The sequence below is a fragment of the Homo sapiens genome, chromosome 21, assembly GCF_000001405.40.
Source record: "Homo sapiens chromosome 21, GRCh38.p14 Primary Assembly".
NCBI lineage: Eukaryota > Metazoa > Chordata > Mammalia > Primates > Hominidae > Homo > Homo sapiens.
Window position 1 is genome coordinate 10521583 of NC_000021.9, and position 15380 is coordinate 10536962.

At 39.4% G+C, this 15380-nt stretch overlaps 1 protein-coding gene across 4 annotated transcripts in view; it reads left to right on the forward strand.

Moving 5' to 3' along the window:
• Positions 1–15380, forward strand: part of TPTE (transmembrane phosphatase with tensin homology) — an 84134-nt gene continuing 68754 nt past the window's right edge. For all 4 annotated transcript variants that reach the window (NM_199261.4, NM_199259.4, NM_199260.4 and 1 more), the window contains exons 1-3: positions 1–112; positions 2998–3106; positions 5773–5830. The gene's annotated coding sequence lies outside the window, so the exon portion shown is untranslated. The remainder of the gene's footprint in view (positions 113–2997; positions 3107–5772; positions 5831–15380) is intronic.

Genomic DNA, 15380 nt, shown 5'->3' on the forward strand with positions numbered 1-15380 from the left:
ACAACAGCTGCTACCTGAACAGTTTCTGACCCAACAGTTACCCAGCGCCGGACTCGCTGCGCCCCGGCGGCTCTAGGGACCCCCGGCGCCTACACTTAGCTCCGCGCCCGAGGTGAGCCCAGGCCCTAAGTCCTCCGGGCGGGGGTAGGGGTGGGGGACGCTCCTTTTTGTTGGGGGGGGGTCTTGGAGGCGCGAAGGCACTAGGCGCCTCGGCGGATGGCTGAACCCCTCGCCCGCGGCTCCCCGTGTCTTTTGGGGGGCCGGGTGCGGGCGCGGAATCCGGGAGGTGTCCGCACAAAAGGCCGAGAAAAACTCCGCGACGCCTCCCTCCCTCCCTCCGCCCTCCCCGTCCCCTCCTCTCCGCGCCCGCTCCTCCTCATTCAAACCCGGCCGGCCTGAGTGGTGTTAGCTCAGTCCCGGCCGCCGCCGCGTGAGGAAATGGCCTAGGAGCCGGAGCCGCAGGTAAAGGGGGCGCGCCCCCCGCCCGCGCCAGCCGGGGCGCCCGCCCGGTCCTGCGGAGGCTCCCGCGCCGCCCCCGAGGCGCCCGGCTCTCGTTGTCTTGTCCCCCCCCAGGATGACCTGAGTTCCCCGTGTCTGCTTTCTAGCCGCTCCTCTAGGGCGCCCCCTCCCCAGCTGGCTCCTGCGCTTCCGCCCACGGGAAGGTGCGGGCGATCCCGGGCTGCATCCGCTCTTGGCCGTCACACTCACGCTGCACGATTTAGAAGGGCTTGGGGTGCGGGGTTCCCTGAGTCTCCGCCGGGAGCGGGGGTCCGGGGGTCTGCGGGGGTGGGCGGTGGGGTGCTGTTCCGAAAAGTTGGGTCGCCCCGCGGGGCGGGTCTCCCAATTTGCCCAGTCGGCCCTTGGGGCGCGGGCGGAGGGGGGACGTCGGCGTAGGGTCCCCAGCGATGCCCCGGGAAGGGCTGGGACAAGTTGGAAACGGTCAAAACAATGCGTCTGGACGGGCAGCATTGTTTCTTATTGTAGTTTTAATCTGCATTTCTCTAATAGATAGTGATGATGACCAGTTTTTCATTTGCTTATTTGCCAGTTGCAAATCTCTATTAGTGAAGTATCTGTTCACGTATTTTGCCCGTTTTTTAAAAGTTGGGTTGTTTTCTTACAATTGAAGTTTATTTTTTCTTATACTCAAAATTTTAATTCGCACATAATAAATTGTACATATTTATGAGGTACAATGTGATGTTTCAGTACATTTTACATTGCATAATGATCAAATCATGGTAATTAGCATATTCATTGCCTTAAACATTTACCATGTCTTTGATGTAAGAATATTCAAAATCCTCTTTTCTAGCGAGAATATGAGTGTATTTTAAATGTTCATCTATTTGTTTTCTCACAATCCTATAAAATGATAGCTTGAGTCAATGAGTTATGCCCCCAAGTCCTATCAACCTTGTCTATTTTAGTGAAATTTAATATTGTTTAGAAAACACTAAGCAAACATAGTTATTCAGAGAGCATAACTGAGCCCTCTGGTTATTCTCTGTAACCCACAAAGGAAGCTGAACACTTGATGTAAACTTCTTCATCAGAGTAAATAATAATCCTCTCCATTACATACAAAAGAAAAAATAACTAGAGAGATAGTCTCTGCTCTGAGGTTATTATCCTGTGGTCTTTGGTTTTGGTACATTCTCCCCCACCCCATGCCCTTCTCCCTCATCTTTAATGAGTATCTGTATGTATGGCAGAACAGTATTTTTTTTATTATACTTTAAGTTTTAGGGTACATGTGCACAATGTGCAGGTTAGTTACATATGTAAACGTGTGACATGCTGGTGCGCTGCACCCACAAACTCCTCATCTAGCATTTGGTATATCTCCCAATGCTATCCCTCCCCCCTCCCCCCACCCCACAACAGTCCCCAGAGTGTGATGTTCCCCTTCCTGGGTCCACGTGTTCTCATTGTTCAGTTCCCACCTATGAGTGAGAATATGCAGTGTTTGGTTTTTTGTTCTTGCGATAGTTTACTGAGAATGATTTCCAATTTCATCCATGTCCCTACAAAGGACATGAACTCATCATTTTTTATGGCTGCATAGTATTCCATGGTGTATATGTGCCACATTTTCTTAATCCAGTCTATCATTGTTGGACATTTGGGTTGGTTCCAAGTCTTTGCTATTGTGAATAGTGCTGCAGTAAACATACGTGTGCATGTGTCTGTATAGCAGCATGATTTATAGTCCTTTGGGTATATACCCAGTAATGGGATGGCTGGGTCAAATGGTATTTCTAGTTCTAGATCCCTGAGGAATCGCCACACTGACTTCCACCATGGTTGAACTAGTTTACAGTCCCACCAACAGTGTAAAAGTGTTCCTATTTCTCCACATCCTCTCCAGCACCTGTTGTTTCCTGACTTTTTAATGATTGCCATTTTCAAAGAATAGTATGTTTTTAAGTCTGTGCAGTCTTGGGCCAAGCTCGTTCTATTCCCCATTCTACAAGAATCACAAGAGCGCTAGGATTCTGTTTGGGGTTGCCGTGGACACAGAGTTCTTACTACAGAACTGACTTATTCTCAATAGGAGGTAAAGACCTAGAGGTGAGGTCTCTGAGCAAGGGAGTCCCATCCCATCCTCTGCCCTCTCTGTTGGCTGTTATCCTCTCATCTTCATCAGGAGAATTAAAATCATGTAAAGTTTTGGCGGGGGAACTAGATGGTGGTCTCTGCGGCCCATAGACAGGAAAGTTTGCTTATACCCAGCTGGGGGGACCACTAATTGACATTCCTTTCCCCTCCCAGGGACCTTACAGAGTCCCCTTACCCTCACGGTACTGGGGGACAACCCGTGGGTGTAAGGCCAAATAGCAATAACCTTGTTACTTGCCAGGAATTGGGTCAAGATTTGATTTAACAAGCTTGGTTTTGGGAACTAAAAAAATGAAAAAAGGAAAAGCCATAATCTTGAAAGGCAACAAGAGAGAAAACTGCTAACAGGATCTTGATTAAATTTCTCCCTCTTAGAGAATGTTGGACCGACGACACAAGACCTCAGACTTGTGTTATTCTAGCAGCTGAACACACCCCAGGCTCTTCTGCCCGGCAGTGGCTCTGGAAGCAGTCTGGTGTATAGGTAAGCATGTCCAGGGCTTATAGGGAGAAACTCCCAGAAATCCAGCTCTGCCTTGGGTTGCCCTGGTTCACGTCCAAAGATGTGCTTGGGCCACATCTCTGGAGCACAAGGTGGTAGACTGAGAGCTTTGATATTTCTACTCCTACTGCAGATGAGCTGGTATAACTCTGAAGGTATGGAATTTGCTGTTGTCTGTGACCCAGCAAATAAAAATAGAAAAATAATTCGATAGAAAAATAATAGAAATAGAAAAAATTTAAAAAACAAACCAAGCCTCATTCTATGACATTTTAGGCAGTGTGATAATATGCATATACTGGTCACTTTAATCTTTCCTACAGGGGCAGCTGGTTGCCCTAATGTTGGATGCTCTGTTCAAGGATGGTAAGCTAGTGTTCAGCTCAGGAAGCCACTCCACAGAGATGGCCACCAAAAGGGCTTCAGTGGTCCCATCTCAATTAACACCTGAAACATTGTTAATTATTACAGTGAAGGTCACAAATGGGTTTTTATTAGTGAAATTGGCGGCTTACAAAGCAGCATGATGGATGTTACAATTATATGACATTTTAAGATCTGTGAATCAACTAACGTGTTTTGGAGACAGCCCACCCTTGCATAAACAGGATAAAGGTGTATGAGGGTGGCCTGTAGTGTATATTTAGAGACGACACCCAAGGCTTGATCCTCATATGGTCCTATCTCCAGGAACGTTTAGGAAGATTTTGGCCTCTGAAACATTAGGAATCTGTTGAGAATGAAGCTTTCATGCTTGGAGTACCTAAAGTGCGGAAAGCTTACAGAAGCTTATATACTGTGTCTGCTTGCTACTGAATGTTTTGTTAAATGAATATCTGTATGTGTGGCAGATTTGGTCGGAGACCTACTTTTCATTATAACCTGGTAGCATGATTATAAAGGTGTAGCTAACCTTCAGCTAACTCAAACTTCTGTGGTTGCTCCTATCTACCAAAAAGCATTTAAGAATTCTGCATGACCACTTCAGTTTAGGACGGTTTGCAATTCTCACCTTCCTTAGGGGGCAATTTAGCTAGTTACTTATTCATGTCCCATGAGGGAAGTCATTCTGTGCCCCAAAGCAGCTTATCAAAGTATTATTTCAGACTTCATGCAGTACTCTCCCTGGAGTTCAGGTAACATCTATGGATGTCTCGTGCCCTTTTTGGAGATTAGTTTCCCAAGGAACTTGCTTAGCAATCCTGGCTTGTCACCTGAATCTGGAGTAATTTGAGTGTCTTCCAGTTCTCTTCCTCAGTAGAGGATGTCTGAAAAATCTAGTAATCATTTAATAAGGCTGCTTATGTCAGAAACTCAAATTCTTACCTTTTTGGTGTTTTGAACATTTTCCCCTGTTATGATTTATTAGTGTATTCTGCATAGACAATCCAATTATTCATCCTGCTGAAAAGTAGCGGATGCCTATAGATGCCTTTCTTTTTGTAAAAGGTTATTGTTTTTCCTGAGACCTGGATGAATTTCCAGGAGCCATTCAAGGACATGAGAACACCCACTTAGAACTTGAAAGGTTCCCCTCATGGCCCTCAGACCAGGCTAACGAGATGCGATAATTTGAACTCTGGCACTCCTTTCCTCACAGGCTGAAAGACTAGCACAATATTAATGTCTATCTGTGCTTAAAGGTTGGAGCTATTGATCAGAGTCCAAAATTAGTTTGTGTAGGGGAACTTTTCTTAAAGACATAAAAAGATACCATTTAATATATTGTTTCCAAAATGTGTTTCTCACACATTTCCACTGTGAGAAAGAGGTTCTGTGGTCAAATAGGTTAAGAAACCTCAGCACACTCTTAGAGAATCCCAGTTGTTATCAGCAGCAAAAAAATGTATGTGATCAGTTTCTTAAACTTATTTAAACGTTTGAAAAGTTAGAAAATTGTGGTGAAGAGCATTAATTCTTGAGTCTTGGGAGTGTATTACCTTGATGAGAATGTTTGTGTATTTGAAACTAAAAATGTGTATCCGTTTATATTGCCACATACTGATTTTTATGGCATAATATATGGTGTAGAGAGCAGGTTGTCTAAAAACCAATATTGGCAAAATGCTGAATATTCAGCATGGTTTTATGAAGTTGACAGATGTGGAGTGTATTTTGCATGTGTCTTAACTTACAGATGAGGAAATGAAGTAGCAGAGAGATTAAATTAGCCAAGCCAGGGGTTTCGGTGCTAGGAAGTCTTGATATTGTAAAACATAGCCATATAACTTTAAAAAAATGAATCCAGACAAAGAGAAAACAAAATCATTGTAAACACATAATCCACTTTAAGTTCACAAAATGTTTTAAACATAATTAAGGCTTGACTTATCTACTTGTTTATTTCCTACCAAGGATGACCGGGAACTAGCCATTGATATAGAAACATTCATTATTCTTACATTTTCTTTCTTTTTTCTGTGTCCCCTCTCTCTCTCTCTCTCTCTCTCTCACACACACACACAGACACACACACACACACAGTCTCAGAAGTACTAGTGCTGTATCCTGAAATTGTTTCTTTAGTTCTTGTCAAAATTCCTCCGATTTTATTTTTTGTGTCCTGAAATACTGTTGAGATTAACATCCTCATTGCCTTCCAAAATATCTGACTTTATTTTTTGTATGTGCTTTTTACTCTTTGGTAGAGTTATGGATTCACTACCAGATTCTACTGTATGCTCTTGACAACTATGACCACAATGGGTGAGTTGACTGATCTAAGTGGTGAAAAATACTGGGAGCATCAATGGCAATAACAGCTTTCTATCAGAGACTTTAAGCATCTTTGGTAACATTGTTTTTGAACCAGAGTGGAAAAAATAAGATCAGGTCAGAAGAAGGATGCTTGGTACTCAAAGATTGTTTGTGACTCTAAGTAATTAGCAGCCAAAACCTTAGGAAACTATCAGAATGCCTGTGTATGAGACTCTCTTCAAGAGTGGTCCAAGAGAGGAGAGAATCCTACTTGGAGAAAGAAGGTGGTAGCATTGGACAGGCAGCAGAGGAGCCCTCAGCAGCAAGAAAGGAGCTAAGAGACCCTGTATCTGTCCCTCACCCTTCAGAGCTGGTGCCCCAAACTCAAAGCCATCATCACATTGGATGGAGCCCCTGCCTCAGGTTTAGTCACTTGATCCTATTTGAGGAGAAGCAAAGATATCTGTGACTCATGAAGAGCATGAAGGTGGTGGAGGGACTTGATAATTAGGAAATCAAAATGGGCAAGAATAATGTGTGCCTACAAATGGGACATGAATTTGAAGGAAATTTAAGTTAAATTTGCTGCCACACATGATGATCAGGTTCAGTAATAATTGTATTTAAATCTTGATTCATTAAACTTTTTTGAGAGTCCTAAACAATTTTTATTACCAACACATAGAGACTTCTTTCTAGAGAAAAATCAAGTACCAGGTGCCAAATAACAGATTTACATGAGAATTTTTAGGGACAACACATTGTAATTTGTAGCGCAATCATAGCCAATTTGAACCAAAAAAAAAAATCGTGTATACATTTATGTTGTTTCTTACTATTTACCTTTCAATCCTTTGCACTGACTCCAATGAATTGACATCAGAAATCTGTGCTGGAGTCAACAATGAAAGGGGATGTCATAATATATATTGGAGATGGGAGGAATTCAGGTTTGTGAAATTCAGTCTCAGAATTATTCATGGGAAAATAGTTTTCTGGACACTGATTCTAAAATTCTTTCTAAAAAGTTGGGTTTTAAGTAAGCTAAGTCATATTTACCATATCTTTTAGATTCAAGGAATTTTGTTGTTCAAATAAGTTGGTCATATCACCGCTCCATGTGGCAAATCTCTAATATATTTTTGCATTTGATGTTTGAAGTAAAATGCAGCAACCTTACATAGAGCTTTATAATAAGCTTCATGTGTTCAAATATAATTGGTACTTTTATAACTGATGCTGTTTGTGTTATACTCAGAAAGTTACTTCTTATCGTAAGATTACCAATATAGTCACCAAAATATTTTTTTATATTTTGAATTAATTTTCCACATTTAAATAAAACAAGTGCTGCTGCTGTTGTTACTATTCCCTTTTAACGTCTCCCCAAATTAGTGTTTTATTCTGTATACTTTATGAGATGGCAGCTTAACAATACCCTTAATATGGCCCAAGGATTCTACAAAAGGAAATGCTGGTGTGTTTGTCAAAAGTGTTTTCTGGCTGGGCATGGTGGCTCAAGCCTGTAATCCCAGCACTTTGGGAGGCTGAGGCAGGTGGACCACGAGGTCAGGAGTTCAAGACCAGCCTGGCCATATGGTAAAACCGCGTCTCTACTAAAAATACAAAAATTAGCTGGGCATGGTGGTGCATGCCTGCAGTCCCAGCTACTCGGGAGGCTGAGGCAGAAGGATCACTTGAATCCGGGAAGCAGAAGTTGCAGTGAGCTGAGACAGCACTGCTGCACTGCAGCCTCGATGACAGAGCAAAACTCTGTCTCAAAAAAAAAAAAAAAAAAGTGTTTCCTGTGCAGATTATCTGTTCACCACTTGCAGATTTGAAGTTTACTAAGCATGTGTGATATCTAAAAGTTCATTTGAAGGATAAGTTTCAATGCCAAAAATGTTTAAAAGTGGGATATAGGAAGATGATGCAAAGATGGAATATCCAAACATTTCCATTTTCACCAGGAGGACTTAATAGAATGTCTAACAGCTACTTTTAGATATTTTTGAAATGTGAGAGGGGTGAGTTAACACAAAAGTAGACTGTGAGATTAAAATGTCTGTTCACTCTAAAATCTCAGCATTCACTTTCTTATTGTTAAGTTATTCATCAGACTCTTTTCAGAGACAACCTAAATGCAAGCTCTTAGAATATTACAACATCTTTTATATGAGATGACAGGAAATAATTTCATGGCCTTTTAAAGGATAGATGAGGGAATTGAATACCACTTTCAGATTAAGTAACTCCTCTATTGAATATTACACTGTTTTATGGTTCATATCTCTATTGTGGTTGAGAGGTATTGCCAGATTTATTCGCTGACAAGTAAATATTATTCAGTTTATAATTAATATCCATGTTGGGGGGAGATACTTTCAGTCTATGTTAAAACTATTTTCAATGTTCAGTATCCTGTTCCACATAAAACTTTCATGCCCTAGTTTTAGCATTCATTGATTTTTATGTGAATCAGTTGTAACTGTGATCATTACAAAATGGTGATTTTTTTTTTAAAAAAAGTAGTTTTTCTGTGTTTAATAAGTATCATTCTATTATAAGGAGAGCTATTCCTACCCCTATTTGTTCACTATTACTATGAACTTATAAATTCTTACATTATTTCAATGAATTACAATCCTTTCTGTCATTATTTATTTTGATCTTTAAATGGTCTCATATTTGGCCAGTGGGACTCCCTAAAAGCTAGCCCCTGTGTCCTTTTGACTTGACATGTTCCCATCACTTTTTGAGCATTTCCCCAGCCCTGGAATCAGCCATTTACCCAAAGAACCTCATGCCCTTTAGAAACCAATCAATATTTTGCATTTGGTATGCTGATTGCCATTGGCTCATTGCTACTTGTAGGCCTTTTTAATATCTAGATGAGAGTACAGATATACATATTGACATATACAGATATATGCACATATGCAACAATTTTAATATGTTTAATACACAGTATATACATTTATATGTGTTCTGTAAACTATGTATTATTGTTTTGCCTATATGTTTTTAAATTTACTTAAATGGTATTAAGTTGTATCTCATTTTGTTAGTTTTTTGCATAGTAACATAAGATTATTCTTCTTGTGCATACCTTTCGTTGTTGCTTTTAACTGGTATGAAAAATTGCACAGCATGCATCCCCTAGTGAGGAACACATATATTGCTTCCTACCATTTGCCTTCACAAAGAGTGCCGCTAAATAATTATCCTTATGCCAGACCCCTATAGACCTGTTTGAGTATTTCTGTAGGAATATGAAACAGGACTTGATGGGCCATGGGATTGCATATTTTGAATTTGACTGAATACTGCCTATTGCTCTCACAATGGTTATACCAGTCTGCATCTCCTGAATAATGCATGATGGTTCCTACACATACACATTCACAACAACACTTGACATTATCAAACTTTCCAATTTATATAATCAGTCTAATAGATGGTAACATATTGCATTATGTTTTACTTTGAATTTATGTGATAACTTATGAATTTGAGCATCATTTTATGTTCTTATAGCATTTGGGATTTCTTCTGTAATGGTCCATTCATGAACTTAGCCCGTTTTTCCACTAGTGTTCCTATCTTTGTCTTGTTAATTTACGTGTGCTGTTTTTGAATATTTTATATTTTAGAATAAGTTAATCAAATTTCTTTTAAAATTATGTTTAATTTTCAAAGTGATTATGTTACATCTGTAAACAATATAGCAAGAATTCACTCTTTTTAGTAACATTAAAAACATGGTGTTATTGTTTGGAGATTTGTACCCCCAAACCGTATGTTGAAATTTGATCCCCAATGTCGGAGGTGGGGCCTAATGGAAGGTGTTTGGAAGATGAATAGATTAATTCCCTCCCTTGGAGTGAGGGTGAGTGAGTACTCACTCTATTAGTTCTTGCAAGAGCTGGTGGTTTAAAAAGAGACAAGCGGCTTCCCGCACCTTGATTCCCCTCTTGCCATTTGATCTCTGCACGTGTCAGTTCCCCTTCATCTTCCACCATAAATGGGAGCAGCCTCAGAAGCAGATGTTGGCATCAGGCTTCTTGTGCAGCACACAACTGTGAGCCAAATAAACCTCTTTTCTTTATAAATTACCCAGCCTCAGGTATCCCTTATGGCAACACTAAACAGACTCAGATGCATGGAATCCCATTCAAAAGTTTGGACTATCGCTTTATGTATTCAAATCATCCTTCATATCAGTTTGAGACATTGAAGTTATGTGCTCTAATCCGTCATCTGCCTGTTAGCTTTGGCATTGTTGTTCTTCATTCTCTTCATGAAATAACTTTTTGCCTTATTATTTTACTTTTGAAGTTTGAAATTTTCCCACTTTCAGTCTACAAAGGTAATTTCTAATCCTCATAGTTTTAATTTACACATTTAATGCTTTAATCTACTTAGAGTCTACCCTTCAATATGGTGTTAGGTGGGGATTTGGTTTCATTTGTCTCCCAGTGGTAGGCTGATTTTCCAAATACCATCTATGAAACAGTTCATCCTTTTTCCTTGTTTATGTAATCATTGTCAATGACATATATCCACATAGGTTTATCTCTGAGCTCAATATTTTGGTCCATTGATACTTATGGCATCCCTACACCTTTTTTTATTAGCATGATTAGTTAAGTTATTAATGGAGCCTTTATATGTTGACATAGATTTTGTAGTAAGTATGTCAATATTCTAAAAAATTTTGAAAAATACCTATGTGGGCCCTGTGGTGTTTGGGAGAGGGAAGGGCTTTAAATACTAGGTTGATTTCTTTGTTACTTGAGTATTCTATTTCTATATAAATATATTTTCTTGCACTAATGTTAGTGTTTTATATCCGTCTAGGAATTTTTCCATTCCATCTAAGTTTTCACATTTATTAGCATATAATTGAATAATCTTATTTTAAAAAAATTTAGTTGTGTTCTAGTTATGCTCCCTTCTTGTACATTTTATTTGGATATTCACTCTGTTTGTTCTTGATTATTATTGCCACAGGTCTATTGTAGTAATCTTTGCAAAGATACACACTTTTGTTTTGTTAATCTTCTCCACGGTTTTTTCTTCTCCAGTTCAGTGACTTATGCTTACCTCCTTATGTTTTGCTTCCTTATTACTCCATAGACTTTGCCATGTGTTCCTTTTCCAACCTCTCTACTTAAATGTGTACTCTTTGCTTTTAACCATCTTGACTTCTTATTAATGCTTATATATTGGTAAATTTTCTTCTAAATATTGCTTCATTGTATCCTACAAACTTTGTCATGTTATTATCAATCAGTTCTTAGTATTTAAAATATTTCGTGATTTCCCTTTTAACATAAGAGGCATTCAGTAATGTGTAATTTAGTTTCAAATGTGGGTTTTTTAAAAAAAGCTAATCATATTACAATATATTCAGAGAATAGCAATATGATATTGATCCTGTGGACTTTATCCTGTGGAAGCTTTCTTTATGGTACAGAGAGCTATGATGTTGGTCTGTCCTTGTGCCCTCATAGGTCTTTTGCTGTTTCTAGAAGGTGTTAGAATTTTCTCTTTGTCTCCATTAGATACTTAAAGCTGATATATTTCTTCTTTCTTGAATTTTGGGAAATTTATCATCATAAATTTTCACATTTTATTTTGCATTTTTAGTTTTCATTTCTTCTTAGATTTCCATATTCTAGATGTTAGATAGCTGTTTTTATCCTCCATAACATTCTTCTTTAGTATGTTCTCTTTATTCTTTTCTACTATTTTCTGGGTAAGTTTCTCAATCTAATCTTCTAACTCTAAATTAATTAGCTTTTCACATGTATCCAAACTACTATTTATCCCTCAACAATTTATATTTTTTGACAGTCATACTTTTACAGTTAAGGCTTTCTCTTTTATTTTTTCTTACGACTCCCATTCTCATTTCATGTTTCAACATCTTCCTTTGTGTCCTCTTATCCTTAAGAATATTTGTCATGCTTACTTTAAAATCTTGGTCAGTGTGTTCCAGTAGTTTTGCTACAGTCGGTATGTTGTTGTTCAGCTTGTTGTATTTCTTTTTCAGTAGTTGTATTCCTCAGATATCTAATCATGTTGGTTTGTGAACTCAGATTTTTTGTGGCTATTGGCTACTCTGGTCATTTGTATTGGGGAAGGACTGAAGGACAATCTCAGTCTGCTGCTGTTCTTGCAACATAATTATTAATAGCACCCACTTTTTCCTTTCAAAAGTGTCCTGGTTTGGGCAGGAATTATATAGTCAGTCTCACTGAAATCTAGGACGTAAGCTGTGTCATTGTCAGTAAGTTTAAAATGAAGAGAAGTGATGTGCCCCAGGGTAGAGAGTCTCAGGAACCATGAAACACTGACCAGGCAACTCCTCTGGGTTGTGAAAAGGAAAAGCTTTAGACAAGGTAAATTTAAGAGTTTAATAGTGCAAGAATGATTCGTGAGTTGGGAAGCTTTTAGAACGAGAACAAGTTCTGAGAACTGCAAGCTGGCAATGTGGCCAGACAGCATTATGGACAGAAAATGGAAGTGAGGTCCAGAAACAGCTTTGTTGTTTACAACTGGTTACAGCTGGATGTTTTGTCTTATTTGAATCAGTCAGCCACCCGCAATTGACTGAAGCTCAGCTGCTGTAATTGACTGAGACACAGCTATCTGTTACAAGTGTATATTCTATTCATAATTGTGCTGTTAGTTTACACACTAGGTTAGCTTGCAGTTTGTTGCATAAGGACTCAAGTACAGAGGCAACCTCAGGGAAAATTTCATTTAATTAAACAACTATATCACCTTGAAGCTCCTGAACAAAGCAGCATTGGAGGAGACAGTCTCTCTGGTTTGTAACCTGGGCTTTGGAGATGTAGGCAGGTGGAGGAGTGAAGGCCCAAGGATGGCTCTTCAGCCCTTCCCTGTTTTCATCAGCCAGCCTAATGCTCTCCTAATTTTACTGTAACTACTCCTGGGTAGTTGCTGTTATTGTCTATGGAGACAGGCAGGGATGGTCACTGTTGTTTCCAAATGGCTAAATTGCATGTGTTTTGTTTGTTTTGTTTTTTTTAGAACAGCTAGTTTATTAGTTGTAGGGTTATTGTAGCTAATTTGAATAAAAATTAAGCCTACAAATTCACATGGTATTTGATTATGTACAATTTAGTTTAATTCTTTAGCTCTGACCCAAATGAAGTGATATCACTAAACCATGATGGAGTCCTCAGTGAAAGTGAAATGATATCACTAGCCTATAATGGAGCCATCAGTGAAAGGTGTTATGTGTGTGTATGTTCATAAAGATACACACAAATGTTAACTATAGAGTTTCTTGGACACTGTTTCTGAAGTACTGGTAGTTTCAGCTTCTGTATGTAACATCCTTTTCTTTTTGGGTCTAGTTGGATACAAGATAAGTAGATCACAAGAAGTCTACTTCTTCCTAGCTGAGTTGACTAGTAGCTAAAACTTTCAGAAAACTGTTGGATTGCCTGTGTATGAGATTCTACCAGGTTAGGCTATATTAGTTTCTAGGGCTGCTTTAAAAAAGTATCACAAACCAAGTGGCTTAAACAAAAATTAATGATCTCATAGTCCTAGGGACTAGAAATCTGAAATTGAGGTTGTCAGTAGGGTTGGCTTTTTATGAAGGCTATAAGGAAGAATCTGTTTGATACCTCTTTGCTAGCTTTTTCTGGTTGCTGGCAATCTTTGGCATTCCTTGGCAGGTAGACTCTTGTCTAGAGTAACTGCAGCTATTTGACCAAAAGTGTAAGTCCAAATTGTGTTTGTATCTGAGTAATATGCTTTTATAATTCCCCAGCCCACAGCCAATTGAGTTGATGGTAGTAACCTATGATAGAGCCACCCATGAAATGTGAATTAGAAACAAGGATTTATATACAAGTAAGTGTATATATACATATATACACATAACATACACGCATGCATACACATACACACACAGAAACATAAAACAATGAAAGAGAAAGAGAAGTTGATATTTGTAAAATTCACTGTCAGGCATATCCTTGGAAATACAGAATATCTTTGACACTATGTCTAAATCTTCTCACTGTAGGATCTATAGATAACCTTCTATTTTTTTTTTCAGACCAAATTGGATAAAAGAGGATGAAGTCATGAAAGGGATGCTTCTTCCTCTTAGTATATTTGTCACTCTAAGTTAGTAGTATCCAATCCCTTAGGAACCTCTGAGGTTTTCCATTTATGAGACTCTCCTACTACTAGAGTGGGCCAAAGGGAGAGAGAATCCTATTTGGAGCAATGGGGAGGTAACAGGTGACGGAGGAGTGAAGCACTCAGCAAAAAGAACAGAGTTCATGAAACCGTAATGGGTTCCTCACCTTCTAGCGTTCTACCACCATGTGAGGCTGGTGCCCCAAACCCAAACCCACAATCATTTTGTAGGGAGTTCCTGACTCAGGCCTACAGCTACATGGTCATATCTTCTGGGCAAGAAAGACAGCCATGATGGGTGAAAGTAAAGAAGTGACAGAAGGACTTAGGAATCAAGAATTTAGATGGGGTAAGAGGCATGTTTCCTTACAGACTGCAGTTACATTAGAAATAAATGCCACTGGCCAGGCATGGTGGCTCATATCTGTAATCCCAGCACTTTGGGAGGCCAAGACAGCTAGATCACTTGAGGCCAGGAATTTGAGACCAGCCTGACCAACATGGCAAAACCCTGTCTCTACTAAAAATACAAAAATTAGCCAGGTGTGGTGGTGCATGCCTGTAATCCCATCTACTCAGGAGGCTGAGGAAGGAGAATTGCTTGAACCTGGGAGGTGGAGGTTGCAGTGAGCCAAGATGGCTCCACTGCACTCCAGCCTCGGTGAGAGTGAGACTCCGCCTAAAAAAAAGGATACACCTAGTTCAAATTAGTGATATACACATGAATATTTAAATGTCAACCAGATAGTACATTGTAGAGTAACTGTAGCTGTTTGATTCAAAAAGTAAGTTTAGAATTACATGTGTGTCCAACTATCTACTTTTATATTCCTTTAGCCTGCATACAGAATTGACATCAATGACCTATGATAGAACCACCAATGAAATGTGAATTATAAAATATATATACACAAATATTTAAAGAAATATATATGCAGATATACATACTTCTGTCTATCTAGACACACAAACACAGGGAGAGAGAGAAAGGGAGAGAAAGAGAAAAGAGAGAGAGAATCGACAGAGAGAAAGATGAAGATTATGTGCTTGCGCTCAGGATCATCTATGGCCATACAGAATGTCTTTTACACTGTTTATAAACCTCCTAACTATAGGCCCTGCAGGCCCCTTATCCAACTTTTTGATTAAATTGGATAAAAAAGGAACAGGGCAAAAAAGGGAAACTTCTTGTTATTGTCTTGTCACCCTTAGTAGCAGGCACATACTTAGGAAAGTCAGATTTCCTGTGTATGAGACATACTAGAGTGGACCAAGGGAAGAAAACCCTATGCAGAGCAACAAGCGAGTAGCAGTGGACAGGGAGCAGCGGGGCCCTTAGGGAAAACAAACAGAGCTAATGGCCCTGGCA